General features: G+C 38.6%; 1 protein-coding gene and 2 long non-coding RNA genes across 5 annotated transcripts in view, besides 1 other annotated feature; all 3 read right to left on the reverse strand.

Moving 5' to 3' along the window:
* The window catches only part of BLOC1S5-TXNDC5 (BLOC1S5-TXNDC5 readthrough (NMD candidate)), a 183,165-nt gene that overhangs the window by 113,124 nt on the left and 46,873 nt on the right, over positions 1–23,168 (reverse strand). The gene's annotated exons all lie outside the window — the stretch shown is intronic.
* Positions 17,678–17,886: a silencer, noted in NCBI's record as "fragment chr6:8012284-8012492 (GRCh37/hg19 assembly coordinates)". NCBI's record gives its function as "represses an EF-1alpha promoter that drives an FKBP-Casp9 reporter gene in an ReSE screen in K562 erythroleukemia cells {active_cell/tissue: K562}" and the evidence as "EXISTENCE:reporter gene assay evidence [ECO:0000049][PMID:32094911]".
* Positions 19,194–23,168, reverse strand: part of EEF1E1-BLOC1S5 (EEF1E1-BLOC1S5 readthrough (NMD candidate)) — an 89,029-nt gene continuing 85,054 nt past the window's right edge. The window contains exon 7 of the long non-coding RNA NR_037618.1: positions 19,194–21,455. This is a non-coding gene — a long non-coding RNA (EEF1E1-BLOC1S5 readthrough (NMD candidate)). The remainder of the gene's footprint in view (positions 21,456–23,168) is intronic.
* The window catches only part of BLOC1S5 (biogenesis of lysosomal organelles complex 1 subunit 5), a 50,848-nt gene continuing 46,873 nt past the window's right edge, over positions 19,194–23,168 (reverse strand). For all 3 annotated transcript variants that reach the window (NM_001199323.1, NM_001199322.1, NM_201280.3), the window contains one exon: positions 19,194–21,455. In NM_001199323.1, the coding sequence (NP_001186252.1) occupies positions 21,437–21,455 (19 nt within the window). In that variant the 3' untranslated portion in view covers positions 19,194–21,436. The remainder of the gene's footprint in view (positions 21,456–23,168) is intronic.

Consider the following 23,168-nt stretch of genomic DNA (forward strand, 5'->3'; position numbering starts at 1 on the left):
GTGGCTCACGCTTGTCATCGCAGCACTTTGGGAAGCCGAGGTGGGAGGATTGCTTGAGGCCAGGAGTTCAAGAGCAGTCTGGGCAACACAGCAAGACCCCTGTCTCTACACAAAAATAAATTAGCTGGGTGTCATGGCATGTGCCTGCAGTCCCAGCTACTTGGAAGGCTGCAGCAGGAGGATCGCTTAAGGCCAGGAATTCAAGGCTGCAATGAGCTATGATCACACCACCGCACTCTAGCCCAGGCAACAGAGCAAGACCTTGTCTCTAAAAACAAAAAAGAAGGAAAAAAAAAACTGCATAAAAATCCAAATCCCTGATTTTATGGCTTAATGTAGATAAACTAAGTATTACGGTATACTTAACTACTAATATGTAAAATAATGAAATGACTCTAGGGCAGTGATTCTCCGATTTTGGACTAGAAACATTTCTAAAACAAAACCTGCGACCCAAAGTGGTCTTTGTCAAAGTTCTCTTACTTCAGATAGAGACATTAACCAAAAAATAGCTACCATGATCTGTCATCATTTCATAAGGCAATTTCAATACCAAAAAGTAGAAAAGCTATAACATGATAGTAAAAGGCAGTTCCTTAAGGTGGATAAATTTAACTCTATCTCAAGTTCACTGCTCTAACCCTCATGTTCTCATTTCACCATCCAGTCTGAGAATCCAAATGACACACACGGGAAAACTCTGTCCTGTAGGATCACTGTCCGTGGACTGGCATTTGAAAACTACTGCTATCAGGAACCTTTGCTTAAATTCATAAAGGCCAGGGATTCTTGCCTCTGTCTTGTATTTTATGTGTGTAGTTTAGAAATCTAGAGGAGACAGCCCCTAATTTTCAGTTCTGGATTTGCCGCTAATTAACTTCAGTTACTGAATCCTTCTATGAACTTCAGTTCTTAATATCAGATAAGAATAACACCTTTCCTGTCTATTTCACAGGACTGACAGGTTCAAAGAAATTCAATATGTGAGCAAGTTTTTTTGTAAACTATCATGCTTAATATAATGATTAAGTACTAACATTTATCAAGCATTTTTAAAGTGCCAGATGCTGTTCTAAATGCTTCCCAAATGGTATCCCGTCCAGCCTTTTTGGCAGCCAAGTAAGGAAACTGAGGCTCAGAGAGGATAAAGAATATGCCAAGTTCATACAGTTAGTGAGGAATAAGGTCAGGAATGGACCCCATGACTGTCTGGTTGCAATTCCATTTTTTTTTTGTTTTTTGTTTTTTGAGACAGGATCTCTCTCTGTTGCCCAGGCTGGAGTGCACTGGTACAATCTCGGTTCACTGTAATCTCCGACTCCTGGGTTCAAGCAATTCTCCTGCCTCAGCCTCCCTAGTAGCTGAGACTACAGGCACCCGCCACTGCACCTGGCTAATTTTTGTATTTTTAGTAGAGAAGGGGTTTTGCCATGTTGGCCAGGCTGCTCGCGAACTCCTGACCTCAGATGATCCATCCGCCTTGGCCTCCTGAAGTGCTGGGATTACAGGCATGAGCCACCACACAAGGCCTAATTCCATATTCTTAATCATTCTGATATACTCTTTCGTAATTAGTGATATAATTATATCATTGCAATTCTCGTATGCTACTGGCTGAATACTGTAGCTACTGGCTGAACATGCAATATTAATTAACAATTTGTCAGACTCAGGCCCTTCTAAGTCAGCAAGACCTCCAGATGATAGCTTTCAGCTTAATAAACAAAGGATTTGCTCAGGATCCATTCAGCTAATAGATGCCACTTTTTATGTTCAGATATTAACCTCTGTAGATAATTACATGCCCTAGCAGGTAGAGTGCTAGTCTACATTGCTAAGAAAAACGATTGGGCATTATTGCGCTCAAGCTGGAAACATGTCATTGGGTAAAGATGTAAAAAAAATAGGAGGAAAATGAGATATACAATCAGAAATGTCAAGCCTTTTGAGAAGTGTAATGAATTTGCTAAATCTTTAGTAAATTGTACACATGCATTAAAACAGTATATGAGGCTTGCTGAGCTGAAAACTTACACCTTAAGTGACTCTGTGGTACACTATATTTTTCTCATACATTTTATTTTGTGATTTATTTAGAATAAAACATCACCTACTTTTTATTTTACAGAAGGCAGAATCGTTTTTAGTTAACATTGGCTTTCAGCTTTAGCATGTCTACAGCAGAGAAATACATTGTGGCATTAGTGCCAGGGCAGGGGCTGCTAGTAGAAACGGCAGCATCCAGAGTCCAGCAGCCGTGTGTGGTGGCACGGCCAGCACCAGCATCCTCCATGTGCGTCCTTTCTTTGGACGTTCTGGTTTTGCTCCCCGCAGCACAAGACTACATTACCTCATACTTTACTTGGCAGTTTCCCAAGTAAACTTCCAGCACCCCCACCCTTCCCCTCTTTGCCGCCTAGAGCAATGCTTTCATCATGCTATTCTCCGTCTAGGAACTAGCTGGCTTTCCTGGTCTCTGTGGCATCTGGTCTGAAGTTCTCCCTTCAAGGTCCTACATAATTAGCTTCCATCTGCTTTAGCCAATTAATTTTTCATGACTTCATCAACCCAACCCTACTTCAGGCATGCAGGGGACGTCACCTTTCTTTAGCAGACAAAATGCTTATTCTTATTCTCCCATCTGGAATTTTCTACCTGCTCCCTCTACAGGGTAATATACTACAAAGAATGTAGACTTTGGAGTCAGACAAGATGTCGCTATGACTCTCAGTCAGATTATCTGTCTCTCTTTCTATATATATTTAAACACATACTGAGTGGTTACAGCATATGAAAAACTGTGTGAAGTTCTTTGTCTCATTAAGTAATTTATTCATCACTCTATACCTGTGAGGTCACTATTATTAAGTTCCCGGTTTACAGATGAAACAATGGAAGCACAAGGAGACGAAGGGCAGCCAGTCAGTGAGGAGCTGAGATTCAAATCTAAAACTGCCTGGAATTCAGAGCCAATCGTCTTAACCATGACTTAGGAGCATCTCACTAGTTGTATAAACTTGAGCAAACTGCTTAACCTCTCCAGTCTTTAATATTCTCAGTATAAACAGGGATATAAATGTCTACTCAGCAGGATTAATGAGATTATGTGTATAAAGTTGCTATCAAAGAGTCTGGCATTCAAAAGAGGCTCCACAAATGTTTCTGTCTTGTCTCTTTTCTGCCCATTTACATTCCATTCATCTTTTACATCCTGCCTCTTCCATGAAGCCTCTTTGGAAGACGCAATGACCTATTTCAGCCTACAGTGATTTCTTCCTCCTGTAAAATCCAAGCGTTCTAAAATGTAGTTTTAAACTGTTTCCCAACTATTTCATTTAACTTAGCCTTTGCTTCCTCAACAAAAGTTTTTTTACAGGGCAGTAATCACATATTATATACCTCATTTACACTCCCTGTAATTAGCCAAGTACTGGATACATGTTGACTGGCCTAGTGATACAGTCCCTGCATGCAGTCTAAGACAGATGTTGCTTTAGAAAAATTTCATTCTATATTTAACAATGCTTATAAAAAAGTATATGGCAAATATAAATTCATAATCTATCACTTGTCCAGTATAAGTAACAATGAATTAAAAATTCACAGACTTGAATTTAACTTTCCTACCTGTGTAAGTCTGTGCTATGCCTAGTCATTGAAGACTAACAGACAATTGGTATTTGCTTACCAAGCTATACTATATCTTGCCAAATTTCAATATTACCAAGAAAATAATGACCATTCCAGAAAACATTAATAACACTTATCCTTAAATATAAACAGCAGCCCATTAGGGCTTAAGTGCGTCACAGACAGCTTCATCGAGTTGAGTATTCATGGCTGGCGATTTCCCTCTGAGGTAGCTATGAAGACTAGTAAGGTAACTGGAATTTATAGAATTGGGTAACTAGTGTGTTAAGCCAATCCTGGGAGTGAGCCAAGATAAGAAAGCCAAAAATGATTCCACTGCTATAAACTAAAGCCAAACAATGAAGACAACTGATTTAAGACTCCAGACACTGTTCATTCTCAAGTTCTTAACTAGGCCTAGACCACTGAAATCTGGCTCCAAAATATTCCACGGAATGAACGATGTGCCAAGGCCTATGCCTGGCCCTCCTCCACCCAGGACTGCTTTCCCCACACCGCAGGCTGCACAGCCCCACTCGCTGTCCCTTGGGGCATGGTGGCACAAACCCTACTTCTGCTTTTAGCTTTTGTCACTGACTCTTCTTCAAGAGGTAATTTGACCCATTACCTTTTTAATAAAACAAATTGACTCATTCCACCTATAGCTTCTCAATTTGAGTCTCCTGGCTTGAAAAGAGCCAGTGGGAATCAAGGAACAATGAGAAAGGTAATGGATTTTCTAACATGGATGTGTGGCCAACCACATCGTTCGGCCAGGCAGTGGCCAGGCCAAATGGAAAGATGCCTTAAAGAAAGAAAACCTCAATTTAGCGATTTCCATAATTTATGAGGAATTGGTAAATTTCTGATACAATCAGAAATAAGCATTTTTATTTTTTAATTGTTTTGTGGAGATGGGGTCTCACTATGTTGCTCAGGCTGGTCTCAAACTCTTGGGCTCAAGTAATCCTGCCTTGGCCTCCTGAGGCTAGAGCCACCATATCCGGCTGCCTGAAATAAGTAGTTTTAAATGCCAGTTTCACACTATACTTGTAAAAGTTATACATTTCACTAGAGCAAATGTCAAACAAGTTGATTTTGAGGCGGAATGAAGAGACACGACATCGATACCTAAGCTTCCACACAGGGAAGAGGATTTACGAAGACCCAGAAAGCCAGACAGAGAATGGTCTATCTTTCCGGGAAAAATGCCCAGAGGCAGCCGATGAAACCCCCTAAGTAATGCTGCAGTGTCTCAAGTCCCTCTTCAATCTGCTCAGTGTTCCTCCCTGTGACTCTTATATCCAATTTATTACACCTTTCACTCATGGGGGAGGATATGTCAACACAGAGGCAAATGCAAACATTCAGATGAAATGTAAAACACAACCTAGTTTCCAAACAGCTTTCTAGTTGGCCTTGTACAGGCTCAACAGCCAGATGACTATTCTCAATTTTTTTCTCATCCCTGATTAAATACAGTACCGACTTCCTTTCAAATGAGAATTCCAGAAAGCAATGTCTAAACATTAGCAATCTTCCTAATTGTTATTCTTTGCCATGGGTACCATCAGGCTACCTTGGTGATGTTTAGATTGCTAAGGATTATAAAGATGCCTCTTCATAGGAGTATCTACCAATCCACATTCAAGGGGCCCAAAAAACTCTCACACTACCCCAAAACATGTTTTGCTGAAATAGATATTCATTCTTCTTTTTTTTTTTTGAGACGGAGTCTTGCTCTGTTGCCAGGCTGGAGTGCAATGGCACGATCTGGGCTCACTGCAACCTCCGCCTCCCAGGTTCAAGCAATTCTCCTGCCTCAGCCTCCCAAGTAACTGGGGCTACAGGCATGTACCACCACGCCTGGCTAATTTTTTGTATTTTTAGTAGAGACGGGGTTTCACCATGTTAGCCAGGATGGTCTCAATCTCCTGACCTCGTGATCTGCCTGCCTCGGCCTCCCAAAGTGCTGGGATTATAGGCGTGAGCCACCGCACCTGGCCAATATTCATTCTTTCTAAAAGTTTGCATTTCTTATCTGGAAAGTCTGAAACAGAAGTCCCAAATTCTCTTTAGGAGTAAAAGGAAAACAATGTTGTAAAATAAGAATAGTTCAATAAACTGCAAGTAATCTCTGGGATGCTTCCCAAAAGTGTACAAAAAGGAACCCAGGGCCATCATCTCCCAAGAGGCTGTAAGGCAGTACAAAGACAAACAGCTCACCATGGCCAGAGCCCCTGTCAATAGCGCCGAGTGCTTGGTAATTTATTACCTCTGGTCCCTGGACTGCAGTGAAGGAAACTGGAATGTCATACCTTCATTCACAACACTGTCTCATGGAATTATTTTTTCCGGATTCCTTGGGAAGTTAAAGTATTTGAGAAGAATATCAGGAACTGTTGTTTCAGCCTGTTTTGTGAGTAGATAATTGCCTTCCAACTCCATTATTTCAGGAAATGATGTGTGCGGCATTGTTCCTAGATGAGGGGAGCAATGTGTTTTAGCAAGACCCATACATGCATATGAAAACAAAACAAAACAAAAGGCATGCAGTCTAAGTCACTTCACTCAACTCAGACTTTTAAAATCTGGTCTCTAGATAAGAGGCTGGCCCCAGACAACCTACCCACATACCAATAACATTCTTTTGAAAGGGTGTAAGCAAAATTTGTTTTAAGAAGTGAGAAATTTTTACCAAAATTACTAAATGTGGTAATAAATAACTTCGACAAATTAAGTGCTATCAAAATGGGTTCAGCAGAGACCTATTTGAAAGGCTAAATTTTTCTCTGATTTGGGTCTGAGTCAAAGACCAGCATGGGAACTAGAAGTAAAACACATTTCATCCTGAAAAATACCTTTGATTCCATGGAATATATTAGCTGATCTTCCTGAAATGTGACATCATTTGTGGTACCAGCTGTATGGGTGTGCCATCTAAGGATTTACTAAACTAGTATTTCTTTGGTTTAATATGTATTTTAAGACCACAGAAAAAAGTCTAATCCAACTAAGTGGTCCAAGGGGAACTGTTATGGACTTCATTCTAAGAAGCTTAAATTTCTTATGATCATGACCTGTTGACCTTTTAATGGATGGATTACACAGAGCAAATTCCCAAATGGACATCTAGAATTGATGATAATGATAATCATTGTTATAAAGGAAACATTAAATATAGCACATGTGAGGTTCTATTTTACATATATTAACTCATTTAATCCTCAAAACAAACTTACGAGGTTAAGTATTGGTCTTTTTACCACCCGTATTTTACAGGTGGGGAAACTGAGGCACAGATATTGAGGTTTGAGATGCCTATTAGGCATCTCAGTGCAGATGTTAATCAGGTGGTCAAATATGTGAGGAAAAAAACAGGGCTGGAGATACAAATTGGGGAGTTGATAGTTAATCATCCTAAGACTGGCTGCAGGGAAGTATCTGCAGGGAAGAGATAGCTGGAGGTCTGGCCTTGAGGCATATCAATAATTAGAGGTTGGAAAGAGGAGGAACACCCAGAGAGGCAGAAAGCAAACCAGGAATAGCTGGTCATCAAAAAGCCAAGTGAAGAAAGTGTTTCTAGAAGGAGAGAGTAATCGATTGTACCTACTGCCGTTGAAAAATAAGGTGAAAACTCAGGACCATTGGATTTGGCCCAATGGAGGTGGCTGGTGGTTTCAGGGGAGGAGTGGTACTGAAAGCCAAGCTGGAAAGGGTTCAAGGGAGAATACAGAATGCGGTAAGTGGACACAGCAGCAAATACTGGCAGCTCCTTCCAGGCATTTTGCTATAAACGTGAGCAGATAAATGGAGCAGTAGCTAAAGGGAAAATGGGGAGCATAGGGAAGGCTTCTTGGGGTTAGGTGGCAGTTTATAACGCATTTATAATATGCTGAATTAATGATTTTGCATAATCTAAATTTTCTTCATCTTCTGAAAAAAATAAAATTAGTTTGATAATTAATGTTCAAAACATGCATTTCTGTTCTGCACACATTTAATCCATGTTTTGTTTTGCAAGAAGCAGGATAGGTTACACATCGTTGTCTACACTTGGTTCAGCCAGTCAGTCAGCCTCAGCAATGAGTGTTCCAGGTTACTTTTCAGTTGCTATAGCCTGCAATTTTGCTATCCCTAACACTGTAAGTGTTAGGAACTTGCAGAGGGAACTTGCTTTTTTCTTCATGAAAATTTAGTCTAGATGCTCCTAGGTGGGCAATGGAGGGGGAAACGTCCACATGGAGAGTAGTAACTAGACCTCACGGGACAACATCTACCTTCTTTGAGATTTCTCCCTGCCACCACCACTATCCAATACTTTTGGTGTTGAGGGACAGTGCCTTGCTTAACTTCCTCTACATAGCTGAGATCATGTTGGAACATTTAAACGAAGTTTCATGGAGAATTTGGGGGTTACAACATGGAAATGGCCACACAATACAATATAGAGAATCTGGTTTACAAAACATAACTCACTCATCTCTGGTTCAGGTGCTCCTACAAAGATGACTGCGTGACCTGTAGTCCACTTCTGTGAGGCAGAGGTTATCTGTAACCCCTGCCCACTGTGGAGGGAGAGAGAGAAGAAAGAAAAGGGGTAGGGGGAGAGAGAGGGTGAGAGAGGTAGGTTCTCACACCCACCTAGTCCTCTTTAAGAACGCACCACTTTCTCAGGTGATTAACATTAGTAAGGTCTATTCATTTCAGGACTTAAGTATAGTCTTATTCTGTGGCCTTAATTAGTCTTATTCTGTGGCCTACATAAGATTTTAACACAGTAAACCCAACATCCATATAAGACACACACACATACACACACACACCCCAGATACAGAAGAGAAGAGGGATTTTGTTATGCTCTCATGATTGCAGATACCACTGGGACCTGGGATCTCCAAGTGGGAGCCGAATTCACTTCATAAGATACCTAGGTCTGTGATAGCCAGGGGCCAGTCGGGGCAAGAAGGAAGGGATGAAAATAAACCCTTGGGGACTGCTCTGCACTTTCACTAGTCATTTGTTCAGCCCTAGTGTAATCCCGTAGGCAGCAACCTCAGAGCCGATTTACCCCACAGAACGTCCCGCGCTAAGGAAACCAAGAACAAAATGTTACAGGAGCTCGTTTAATCTGCACAAGGAGATGCTTTTATCCAGTGATGCGTTTAGGGAACCATCAGTGTCACCTAAGCACTCTTAAAGCTGTGTGTGTGTCTAGTGGTGATGGAAAGGGGTGCTTCTCATCTGCTTCTCCTTATTGTCAAAAACCTTAGTAAAAACCTCAGAATCTCTTCAACACCAGATAAAAGGGAAACTGTGAGGCTTTTTCTGAAAGTGAGTTGAAGAACAAACTGTTTTGAGGCAAGGCAGCAAGTAAACAGAAAGGGAAGCAGGCCAGTGGGAGGTTGGGGCTGCAGCCGCAGAGGGAATGGTCCTAAACAGCAGATACCTCCTTCAGGGACCGGGAGCTAAGAGATTCTGCTTTGCTTTCCCACCTGGCAATATGACTTTCAGAGCTGCAGCCAAATGGGGTACATCCCAGGTCCCACAAGTCAAGGCTCTGAATACCGTTCTTTAAAAAAAAAAATCATCAAATATAGTGGCTCATTATTAGCTTAGAGCATTACGTATCACTACTGGTACTATGGTATTTTGAGGCATGATACCGTGTTTGTGGGCCAGCTAAAAGCCTAATCACCATGTACATCATTGTTTCTATTGGGAGATGCATTCCAAGTCCCAAACAAATGATCTAAATGAGGTTTTGGGGGAAAATACTGTTAACGGGGGTAACTTTTTTCCAAAAAGGTAAAATTTCAAGTTTCTACTTTGCAGTATATAGCTTACTTTAAAAGCTTAAGCCTTTCCAGAGAGAAATAGCAATTATTATAAACCAGGTGATGACAGACTATTGACAAGCCTGACAGTTTTGATTAAAAACAATGAAACACATTCATCTAGTCTTTATTTCTTCATATTCAATTATTGTAAAACACAAATGCAATGTAAATAGCAAGGATAACTCAAATCTTCCTTAACCAAACTAACTCATGGTCAGCCTTGTAATACAGCAAGAACTTCCCTTTTCTTTTCTCTTTATTTCAATAGTTGTTGGGGAACTGGAGAAGTTCTTTAGTGGTGGTTTCTGAGATTTTGGTGCACCCATCACCTGAGCAGTGTACACTGCACCCAATGTGTAGTCTTCTATCTCTCACCCCTTTACATCCTTCCTCCCGAGCCCCCAAAATCCATGATATCATTCTTATGCCTTTGCATCCTCATAGCCCCCACGAACTCCCCTTTTTAATATGTGGTCAGCACATGTCCTATGCATGGGATATAAAACAGCATAAAACATTCTTTTCCTTGAATAATTCAGTCTTCTGGGAAAGGAAATGGGAAATCCTTAAATAGAGGTAGCTGCTTAATAAAACCTGATGTATTTTCGCACTGATTATAAAAAGCAAAATACTTACCTAAAAGACAAAGGCCATTTAATAACTTTCTTGATTTCCTACTTATAGTAATGGTGTTCTCAAAAGCAAAAATTCAGTCACTTTGGGCTAAGAATTACAATTTTACATAAAAGAGAAATAGAGATTATCTAAATCTGAAGCCATGCCAGTAATTGTCATAAGTAACACAAACAGTCCATAGACATATCTATATATGGATGTTAAAAATTCCCATAATCTTAACTTCCAAGCCAAGATCTTCATCTCTATCCCTGCCCTGTCTAGACTAGAAATTGCTATTTTCAGCTACTTTCTAAAAAAAAAATCCTAATGCAGGCTAATAATTTCCTCAACCTATCAGTCATACATCTGAGTCCACAGAGTAACCTTCCTGTAACACTTTCATCGTGCCACTTACAGTAAGAGTCCCATTACCTACAGGATAAGCACAAATTATTAAAGTTGGAAATGATGTGAAAACCATCTATGTGATGTGTTTAAAGTCTCTGTACAAATTTAGTGATGGAAGCATGACCAAAATGCAAGTCTTCTCTCATTTCCAATTTCCAGTGCACTTTCCAATTTCCAGACTGATCCACTACTGCTTCAACATCAAAGAAGTCTATGGATTATTGTCTAAATTTCCCAAAAGTATGTCCACCTGTGTTTTTGATAAACAAGGGCAGAAACCAAGCTTTAGTCAGCTTCTTAGCCCTAGTTCCTGGAACACAGGTGCTTACTGAACTAGACTGAGCTGGAAAGATTCTGCCATCCTTTTCATAACGCAAATCCTATTGCATTCAAGTTTTATCTTTACTACAAATGATTCCCTGACCACAACTCACAAAGACAGTTCCTACTTGGGACTCACTTATTTTAGTCATACGCTGCCTGCTTAGCATATCATAGTCTTTGATGTGGTATTATGTAACGTTACGGTCTTGGTTTTCTACTTTATTGTTACATGTGCACAACTCAATTATAAATTCCTTTAAGATAGAGTGCTATTTCTGACTATCTGCCTTTTGGAATATAATCCTGACACAGAACAATGCTCATATGTTTATTAAATCCTACTCTGGCTTCCATGCTAGGTGGGGAAAAAAATACTGACAACTAGCTCTTAAATTTCTATTTTCGACCAATTGCTATATTTTTGTGCCTTTAAACATTAACTTAAAAATTATAACTGCCTTAATTTGGAGGAATGAACCAAGAGTTTTTTTCTTTTCTTTTCTTCCTTTTTTTTTTTTTTTTTTGGAGGTGGAGTCTCGCTCTGTCACCCAGCCTGGAGTGTAATGGCACGATCTCGGTTCACTGCAACCTCCCACCTCCTGGGTTCAAGCGATTCTCCTGCCTCAGCCTCTTGAGTAGTTGGGACTACAGGTGCGCGCCACCATGCCCAACTAACTCTTTTTTGGTATTTTTAGTAGAGACAGGGTTTCGCCACATTGGCCAGGTTGGAACTCCTGACCTCAAGTGATCCACCTGCCTCGGCCTCCCAAACCGCTGGGACTACACGCGTGAGCCACAGCGCCTGGCCAAGTTTTTCAAAACCCATATAAAAACATTATTAGGAATGTTCTGTTTCTTAATTTGGCTTTGGTTATACAAGGTGTAACTTAATGATTTTTGTACCATTCTATACTTCAACATAGCCCAAATATAAAGGGATTTTTACTCTACTTTTATTGCTAATAAAACAGCACATCACTTACATAATGGAAGACTGTATGTTTATGACATGAAGAAAGCGAGAAAAAAATACAATTCTCCTAAAAATACAGCAATCCTAAAAAAAAAAAAATACAGCATTCCTAACCATCATGGAACTCATAGGCTTTTCCTACATTTTGGTATTTTTATTCAGCTATATAACTTACATTTATTATCTCCTAAATATCTTTGTCCATAGATGGTATGCACCCATCCACATAAAACTGTTCAGGGGGGGAAAACATGTTATCACAGTGACACCTGCTGGTGTTCAGCTATACATTTTATATTCTAAGTGAAGGACAGATTTTTTGGTGTCAAAATTTTTCTTAATAAAATTTAATATTAATGTTTCCCACTTAAATAACTTGTATAATTGTTAAAACCAAATCTCTGTAATACACAACTGGCCACCTAAGATTTTTATTTTGTGACAATTATCTTACTGTAATTTTATTAACTATTTTCTTTAAAAAGACACTTTCCAAACAAAGCAGCTTAAGTATTCAGATGACATGAAGTTTTTTAAAAAGTGAATTAACTTGTGGTTTTCTTTTCAAATTCTCTATAAATTCTATTTTAAGGGAAACTATTACATTAAATCAACATTTACAGAATATTTTCTCTGAATGATAAATGTTAGCAATATAAACAATTTCACAAAAGTCAAAAATCAGGTCTATGTAGAGAAAATTTTAAGCACAACACAGATAACCTCGTACACTGACTTCTATTATGGTAAAACCTCACACTCATAAATGGTGATAATACTTGCAATGGAGGCTAACTTTCAATGCCTGCCAGGTCTCAACCAAACTTTTCTTTTTTAAAGTTAAAAGGGGAAAACAATTGCTCCAAGGAATGATGGAATGCACATATCCTCATTCATTTCAAGTTTTAAAAAAATACAGTACTGACCACATGGTCTGCAGAGTGGACCTGCTGGCCACAGGGCACTGACGCAAACGGCTGGATCTTGTGTACACACTCTCTCCTCTCTTGCTATCAGTAAATGCTGCACCACTTGAGCTTGGTGTTGTCTGTTCTAAATGTCCTTGAATCATGCACTGGCCTCTTCCCAGGGTGGCACTTTACTGGCCTCTTCCCAGGGTGGCACTTTCTATCTTAATCTTACCTACATTCATGTTATATTCTTTTTCTTTTTTCCTATTTTTTTTTTAGAGACAAAGTCTCACCATGTTGCCCAGGCTGGTCTTGAATTCCTGGCCTCAAGTGATCCTCCTGCCCCAGCCTCCCAAAGTGCTGGGATTACAGGTGTGAGCCACTGTGCTTGGCTCCTTTTTTAAATTGATAAATAATTGTATATATTTATTAGGTACAATGTGATGGGTTGATATATGCATACATTGTGGAATGATCCAATCAGGCTAATTAACATATCTATCATCTCATGTTATATTTTAACCTATGGCAAAGCCTGACCACACAGCGAATGATGAAATAATAGTAAATACCTTTAATGATTCAGAATATTTTAGAGCAGAATTTCACATATTGACTTATTAATGTTTGTAGTACATCAGACTATCATTTTAGAAAGCGATGTAATGATAAAGAAAAATTTTTGGATCCATCTGTACTATGGATTTTCATGGTATCACTTATGGATTTTTTTAAAAACCATGAAAGTATTATTTAGTCTATCTGATGTGTTGTTGCTAGCTCAACATTGGGTGGGCAAAACACTATATTCCTTGTATTTCTGTGCTGTTTTGCTCTTCCTCTAAAAGAATATAATGGGTATTTCTTGGTTATAATGATGAAATAAGATTAAACTACATATAAGGCACTTAAAAAGTAGGCTCTAAGTTATGTTATACAAATATGAGTACTGTATTTACTTACCTTAAATTAATTTGGACTATTTCTTCAGAGATAATTTGAAGCTTGAGTTTTTGTGAGGATCAAATGTTAGCGTACTTACTAACTTACTGCTCTTTGAAGTGTATCACATCTGAAAATCCAAGTTTGTTTTCTCTTGCTTATGGAACATAAATAGGAAAATACCAGAGGAAATGCTGTTTTGCTATCATTGCCAGACCAGTCACAAGAAAGCATTATTTGTAGCAGTTAAGATTCAAAAATGAACAGAGGGCTGGGCACGGTGGTTTATGCCTATAATCCCAGCACTTTGGGAGGCCGAGGTGGGTGGATCACCTGAGGTCAGGTGTTTGAGACCAGCCTGGCGTTTAAGAAAGAACCAAACGACTCTTCTGAAAATAAAAATGTATAATAACTTTAACATGGTAAAACCTCATCTCTCCTAAAAATACAAAAATTAGCTGGGTGTGGAGGCAGGCACTTGTAATCCCAGCTACCTGGGAGGCTGAGGCAGGAGAATCGCTTGAATCCAGGAGGCGCAGGTTGCAGTGAGCCAAGGTTGCGCCATTGCACTCCAGCCTGGGCAACAAGAGCGAAACTCCGTCTCAAAAAAAAAAAAAGAAAAAAGAAAGAGCAGAATGAGGAAGAGCAGGCAGTAGGTGATACGCTATGACTGATTTCCATTCTCCATTCATTCTATGACCTTGATTTGCACCAAGTCAATAAAATATTAACATTTTATTGGGGTTGAAAATTATGAAATAATTACAAAACCTTTCTGAAAGTCTAAGAACAAACTACTAGAAAATATATCGTCTGTAATGGGAGCTTCAAATATTTTGACTGAATTAATGTTTAAAATATTTTTCTGGTATTTTTCATCCTGAGAGACTTACAGCCCCAAATGGCAAAAAATAAATAAATAAATAAATAAAAATAAAAAGCCTCCCGGGTACAATTTCAGGAAAGGCAGACATTATGCTAAATTCCAAAGCAATAAAACCCGCTACCTTTTCATTTGCAATGGCAACCAGAAAACCCATGCACAGTAGGAAACTGTTCAAACAGTACATGGAAATGTTCAGATACAAAGTTTATGTATTATAAAAGCAAAGAAGAGAATTCACTATGTATCTTGGAGGCATCTGTGACTCCTCCAGATTTTCATGGCACTTTGGGTTTAATAGCACAGATCAAGCCCCCTCTATTTTCATGCCCATAATAGTAGCCTGAGACATTTTCACAAAGCACAATAATGTCCTAAAGATTAAAAATTCCAAAATCAGGTATTCAGGTAAGAGTTACGCAGGTTTAGAACACTACTGAACTCTTATTTGCCTTCATTAGCTCATAAACAGTAAAAGATCAATCCAATAGAAGCAATAGAGACAATCATATTAGTTCATGGATAACAGGAAATAATCTAATATAAAAGATTTAGTGTAATATTGAAAAAGTAAAAAGGTATCGTTTACACTAGAATATGGGCGTGTTCTTTTTTGGAGAATATGATAAAATCACCATGTACTTGTATAACATGCCATTTCTGTACAGAGAAATCTGTCTGGCCACTGAACACCAGAAATGCTAGAAAAAAATTTAAACTTTATTTATTATTCTTGACTGAATTTATGGCAAATTAGTGAAAACAACTGAAGGCAGCTCAGGAGACTGGGACATTCTATAGGGTAATTCAGCTCTGGATAACTGCCCTAAAGGCATCCCCATCCCTGCAGCCTAGGAAGGCCCCAGTTGTTAGGAGCCATACCTGCGTGAGGGACAGGAATCAAAGTGAGGGACTTTCTCAGTCTTCTCCACCTGCCATAACAAAATACCACAAGCTTGGTGGCTTAAATAAAAATTAATTTTCTTAAAGATGTGCTGGCAAGAAGTCTAAGGCCAAGGTCCTGAAAAATGTGGTTCCTATGAGGCGCCTCTTCCTGGCTTGCAGATGGCTGCCTTCCTGCTGTGATCTCAGGACTTTTCCTCTATGTGCAGGAAGAGCTCTGGGGTCTCTCTTCTCCGCCCTATGACCTCATTTAACCTTAATTACCTCTTTAAAGGCCCTGTCTCCAAATACCGTCACAATGTGGTTACAGCTTTACTTGATGAATTCAGGGGAGACAAAATTCAGTCCATAACAGGGACTGAGCTGGATGAGCAGGAGGACTTGTAAAGCCTCAGAGGACACTGTCCTCAGGAGTGAACTAGGAAAACACCTAAATTTACCCTTCTTCATTATTCAAGAAGAGATATAAAGGAAGAAAAACGTCTCCTCTGGGAATGCCTCAACGAAGCCAACAGTCACAGGTGTTTAGGGCTGAAATCCACATTTTGTGAGTGCGTATACATACACACATGTGTGTGTGGGTGCAAAAGCTTAAGGAGTAGAAAAGGGAGAGACAGGGAATCCAAGATGAAAACTGATTTTGAAGTGGTCTGTGGTTTGTAGTGTCACAATAAACAAATTGGTGCTGCAGGGAAAAAAAATCTTCTCTGTAGGACTATATTTGAAATTAAAAAAAAAAATCTCCCAAAAGAAAGTTCAGAGGAATGCAAACTTAAAATAAAAAATGACTGATCACATTAGGAAACTCGTCACCATAAACTTGTTTCAGCAAAAACAAGCAACAAACTATAAATCTGGATCCACAAAAAATACTGAAATTACCACGTACAGAATGTAAAATAAGTACTTTTAATATGTTTAAAGAAAAGAAAAAGAAGGAATAATGGAACCATCCCAGACAACCCAGGAAAGTTTAAGAAAGAACCAAACAACTCTTTTGAAAATAAAAAAAATAATAACTATAATTAACAACAGATGGGTAAAATAGGTTAGAGATAGAGTGAAGACAGTATTAATGAAATAGATTTAAAGAAATTATCCAGAATTCAACACCTAGAGACAGAGAGATGGGAAATATAAAACAGGGATTAAGAGATATGGAGAGGACAGTGAGATCATAAAACAGAAGTCTTAATTTTATTTCCTAAAGGAGAGAATAGAGAGAATGAGGGAGATACAATATTCAAAGAGACAGTAGCTGGGAATTTTTCAGAATTTATGAAAAGTACCAATTCTCAGATTCAGGAATCTCAATCAATCCCAACAGGACAATGAAAAGAAATATACAGCTAAACATACTGTAGCATGGCCACATTTGACTGTAGAACACCAAAGATAAAGATCTTAAATATGACCTGAGAAAGAAGGCAGATTAGCTACAAATACTGATCAGACTGACAACTGTCATTTCAGAAGCAGCAATGGAAGCAAGAAGACAGTAGAATATTATTTGAGAAAACAGCTGTCAACCTATAATCGTATACCTAGCTAACTTTCAAGGATAATAAAATAGCAAACTTCTAGGTAAATCTACATAAACACTGACTATACAAAATAACTACTTTTGTAGTAAAATCGAGATAGAACTAGAATTCTAGACAACAATTTGTAAGTTGAAGAGATAAATCAGACTTTGTACAAAAATCTCTAAAGAATAGGAAGAGAGTAAAGATGTTAATTTTAGATTCTGTTAACTACGCAAGTTAAATTTCCTACTAAGCACTTCATTAAAAGTTAATTTTTACATATAAATAAAATACATATCAAAACTGATTTGGAAACTGGGAAATGTTTAACTTTGAAAGCAGCAGAAGAAAAGTAGATGGAAAAATGAAACAAAACAAACTCAAGCTGAAAGAAGTCAAGAAACAGAAAAGGTGGGACAAAAAGCACAAAATAAGATGATACAAATAAATCTTAATATATCAGTAACTTTGACAAATGTAAATGGATTGAACTCCTTAGTTGACAAATGATCAGAAAGAAAGAAAAACATCCAGCCACACAGTTTTTTTTTTTTTTAAGACAGAGTCTCGCTCTGTAACCAAGGCTGGAGTGCAGTGGCGCAATCTCGGCTCACTGCAACCTCTGCCTCCTGGGCTCAAGCAATTCTCCTGCCTCAGCCTCCTGAGTAGCTGGGACTACAGGTGCACACCACCACGCCCAGCTAATTTTTGTATTTTTAGTAGAGATGGGATTTCACCATGTTGGCCAGGATGGTCTCAATCTCCTGACCTCGTGATCTGCCCGCCTCGCCCTCCCAAAGTGCTGGGATTACAGGCGTGAGCCACCGTCCCCGGCCCCAGTCACACAGTTTTTAAAGGGCATATCTAAAACATAACAGCAAGGTTTAACAGAAGGATGAAAAAAGATATATCCTATAAATCCAGCTAGCTGGCATAATCCATATAAATATAATATATAGTTTATGTATTTTTATATTTATGTATATATTTATAATTATTTATTTATAACAAGACTTCAAAATATATAAAAATATATAAAACTAAAATTGACAGAATTACAGGGAGAAATTGGTAAGTTCACTAGAATAGAAAATTTCAACACATCTCAGAGTCTGAGAGATCAAGTAGAAGACAAAAGAATAGTAAAATGGAAAAAATTTGAACTACAAAATTAACAACTTTGGTCTAATGGACATCCAACAACTAAAAAACAAGCATACTTTTCAAGCAATCATGAAACATTTACAAAAACAGGTTATAATCTAGGTCATAAAGCAAATCTCAACAAATATTAACAGATCAGTCTTAACATGTACCTATTTTCTGTCCACAATTCAAATTCAATTAAAACAGGAATCAATAAACACAGAATTTAAAAATATACACGCTAGGAAATGGGAAAAAAAAGCCTCATACATATGTTAGTCGAGAAAGAAATCATAATTAAAAATTAAAAATACATAGAACTTAACAAATCTTTCTATGGTGCTTTAAAATTATAAAACATTATTTCATTTGATCATTGCAATAATCCTATGAGCTACATAGAACCCACAATATCTCTGCTCAACAGCACAAACACAGCAGAAATGTTACAAACTGGCTAGGCACAGTGGCTCATGCCTGTAATCCCAGCACTTTGGGAGGCTGAAGTGGGCAGATCACTTGAGGTCAAGAGTTCGAGACCAGCCTGGCCAACATGGTGAAACCCCTTCTCTACTAAAAATATAAAAATTAGCTGGGCATGGTTGTACATGCCTGTAATATCAGCTACTCAGGAGGCTGAGGAACAAGAATTGCTTGAACCCAGGAGGCAAAGTTTGCAGTGAGCCGAGATCGCGCCACTGCACTCCAGCCTGGGTGACACAGTGAGACTCTGTCGCGCAAAAAAAAAAAAAAAAAAGGAAAGAAATGTTACAAATTATGTAGTTATTAAAATTGTTTTTTACATATAAATAAAATATATATAAAAAGTGATTTGGCAACTAGGAAACAGAAGCAAAAGCGTTCACCACTAAAAATATCAAAAGGAAGGTAAATAAACCAACTCTTATAGAAGCTATGTCGAATATCAAAAGGAAGGTAAATAAACCAACTCTTATAGAAGCTATGTTGAATAGTTAAAAATGTTACAAGAAACAATTGAGTATCTTAATGTCTAAAGCTCAAAAAGCCCATCAATTCATTTTGGTTTAGGAAGTCCCTTAGGTATTTATGGAATAATAAACAAACTTATAGGGTAAAGTATTTATTATTCACATGAGATGAACACAAACTATCAGAAATCTTTGCTATACAAGTTGGGTAGCCACAGTTAAGAATATATTCCCTTCACACACACAATCTTAATTTCTTGGTTACAGCATTCGTTCAATGATGTGTTGGCAATTAATCGCATTCCAAAAAGTGTCTACGGTACAAAGGGAATTTTCATTTAAGGCTCCCCTCCCTTTTCATGTGTGGGATATTTTTGGAAGTATTTCTTTTTCCATCCACTGAATTAAGAAAATTCCAACATGCCTTGGTGTCAGCAAGTGCGCTTTTTAGTCCAGGTACCAGCAAATGATTGATGAGCCTGTCAAGCCTACAGTAGCGGATAGAGAAAGTTGGCAGAAGTTCAGTGTTATTGAAAAAAATCTCAAATACTTATTTCATCTCCTCTATTAACTTTAATCACATTTTCAACATGCAGCCAAGAATGAAGCTTTGACAGTAAGCCATACATTTACACAGGCAGGCATTGTCAATTTTCTGCAGTCGCCACACTGAGATAACACAAGAGAGCTGGATATTTTCTTTCTTGTGCCTTTCTTTACTAAAGAGCAATAAAAAATATGTGAAAGATTTATCCATACCTCAAATTTGTTTACCATAAATCTCGAAATTATTGCATTTACTTTTGCTTGGTTTATGGCAAATAAAAAATCAACTTAGTTCTTCAGTTAGATTTTTTTTTTGTTGAGATGGAGTCTCACTCTGTCACCCAAGCTGGAGTGCAGTGGTGCCATCTCAGCTCACCGCAACCTCCGCCTCCTGAGTTCAGGTGATTCTCGTGCCTCAGACTCCTGAGTAGCTGGGATTACAAGCGTGCACCAACATGCCGGGCTAATTTTTGTATTTTTAGTAGAGACGGGGTTTCACCATGTTGGCCAGGCTAGGCTTGAACTCCTGACTTCAAATGATCCGCCTGCCTCGGCCTCCCAAAGTGTTGAGATTACAGGTGTGAGCCACTGCACCCAGCCTCAAATTAGACTGTTAAATGCAGGTTTTTAAAGATCACAGTGATGACAGAACTGGTACATGTTTCATCATAATATACCTGCTTATGAGAACAGACATTAACACTAAAAAGGATTTACATTTAACATGGACCATTTGCTGTGTGGGCAAACACTTCTGGTTCATTCAAAGCCAGGAACTTTATATGGTTCCAGAGGGACTCTCTGGCAGATTTTGTTGATTACTCATTAAACAGTCGAAACATGTATAGACATTATTTATCTTATAAAGCTTACCCACAGCAAAACAGACACAAAAATGAGGTAAATACTATGGGCAAGATTATAGCTCTTGGAAAAACTAAATGTCAAAATATATTTTTGGTAAGCTTTTCCTTCTAAGCATGCTTTAAAAAGCTGAAAATAGTAAGTGCTGGAAGGCCACAAAACTTAACATGTGTCTTCCCATCCACGGAAGCCCATGGCATTATGCTGCACTGTAAAATATGCAACGCTTCCCAAGAGGCAGCTCAAACACCAGCGTGGCCATCTTTGCCACAGCAGAGACAATGTGTTCACTCTCACCTCTCTGAAATGTGATCTCTGCTCCAAGGACAGCTGGCTTTTTTTTTTGTCTACATTACTCATGCAGTAACACTTTATACATCCTTCCAACAGCCAAGGAGGCTATGACAGGTAGCTTCTATACCTTCCCATTAAGCCACAATAATAAACTATTGTTAACCCTGTATAGAAATGAATGAAATTATCTTTCTAAGAAGTCTATACCTACAGTTCTCTGAGCTAATCAATGGAAAAGATGATCAATTCTGACTAACAAAGAGTATATTGATTCCATTTTCCTTCCTACTCCTCTTCATTCAAATAATCATATATAGGCACTTAAAGCTGGAAAAATGTGGCACCCTTCTTTAAATATCCAATCAGAATGCCAGTAGAAACTTCTTTCTTCTGATATAAGAGTGCCACTGAATATATTGCTAAGCTTGAAGCAGAGGCTAAACGGTCTGGTGGGAATAGTTTTCAGGAGAGAGGTGAACATCTTCTCATTAGTTTGTGATTGTTGTGGTTCAAGTTCTTAAAAGGTTGAAAATTTCGCTAGGTCCTTCTCCATCTCAGCATATTGTTCTTTAAGCCTTTCCATGGCTTTTCTGTGCTCTTCATCCACTTCAGCCCTTTTGTTGGGTTGCTCCTTCATGAAGTTGTCCCACTGGAGCATATGCTGTTTCTCACTAGCTACTAAGTGGTCACTATGAATCTGAGAAAAGAAAATTAGAAAGTCACACGACATTTTCCAGACAATTATTTCATAACGTTATCTCTTGATACTTGGTTACCGTAACAATCAGCTGGTAAGTCACAAGGAAAAAGTTGTGTTATAATATCCAAAAAAAGATGACACATTAGAAACATCTAAGGCTTCTCTCATTAAAATTAAACATGGATATTCTCATTTCTTAAATTTTAAAAGTGGGCTGGGCACAGTGGCTAATGCCTGTAATCCCAGCATTCTGGGAGGCCGAAGCCGGTGGATCACCTCAAGTAAGGAGTTTGAGACCAGCCTGGCCAACATGGCAAAACTCCGTCTCTACTAAAAATACAAAAATTAGCTGGGCGTGGTGGCACATGGCTGTAGTTCCAGCTACTCGGGAGGCTGAGGTGGAAGAATCGCCTGAACCCAGAAGGCAGAGGTTGCAGTGAGCTGAGATGGCACCACTGCACTCTAGCCTGGGTGACAGAGTGAGACTCCGTCTCAAAAAAAAAAAAATTTTTTTTAAAGCGTCTAGTATCTTCACATGATAAAATCAAACACAATCCAAGTATTTTTTCATATTTCTATTTCTCCTCAAATCCCATTTCACTGCAGATATTTTAAAACCAATTTTAAAAAAATATATGCTAAAAGAATCATTGCTGTAAGAAATCAAAATGTCTTACATAAAATATTTTTAAGTGCATTAGAAAGAATCATAAATTATTAGTCACTAGAAGAGAACTCGAGAAATCTCTTCTGGGATGGGCAGAGTGGCTCGCACCTGTAATCCCAGCATTTTGGGAAGCTGAGGCGGGCAGATCACCTGAGGTCAGGAGTTCAAGTCCAGTCTGGCCAACATGGCAGAACCCCGTCTCTACTAAAAATATAAAAATTAGCCGGTGTGGTGGCGTGCACCTGTGATCCCAGGGCCTGTGATCCCAGCTACTCGGGAAACTGAGGCGGAAGAACTGCTTGAACCCAGGAGACAGAGGTTGCAGTGAGATGAGCACGCCATTGCACTCCAGCCTGGGTGACAGTGATACTCTATCTCAAAAAAAAAAAAAAAAAAAGAAATCTCCTCTGGGTCAGTTCTAGTCCTTAAAGCAAATCAACATCTCAAACATCTGTGTCAAATGTCTCAGTTCTTGAGATGTTCCTTAATATTGCTATATAAGGATGAAAGGTTTTTTCTTTTTCTTTCTAGCACCACAGTAATATAGATAAAATGCTGTATAAATAAAAAAGGTATGAATTTAGTTTTCTCCCCCCTTCCAAAGTACAATTTCAATGATTAACTTTGAATACGTACAATAAAAATCTAAATAGAGTATGAAAAAATAACTTTATATCCCTATTTCAACTATTCTACATGTATGTCATTAGCAGTTAAGTTTTGATACAGATTAGGTTCTATTAAACAAACAAAAACTGGGATATGCAAACTAGAAAAACCTAGAAGTTCGAATTGCTTGAACCTGAGAGGCGGAGGTTGCAGTGAGCCGAGACTGCACCACTGAACTCCAGCCTGGGTAACAGAGCGAGACTCCGTCTCAAAAACAAACACACACACACACACACACACCTACAAAGCACCCGAAGTCACTGTTAATTTTGGCATGTTAATTCCAGCACTTGAATGAAAAAGGGACACGCAGCGTACTCAGATGCTGGTTAACTCAGATGTCAGCCACCAGAAAAACAGCTACTAGGAAAAAG

This window comes from Homo sapiens, chromosome 6, assembly GCF_000001405.40.
Source record: "Homo sapiens chromosome 6, GRCh38.p14 Primary Assembly".
In the NCBI taxonomy this organism is placed as follows: Eukaryota; Metazoa; Chordata; class Mammalia; order Primates; family Hominidae; genus Homo; species Homo sapiens.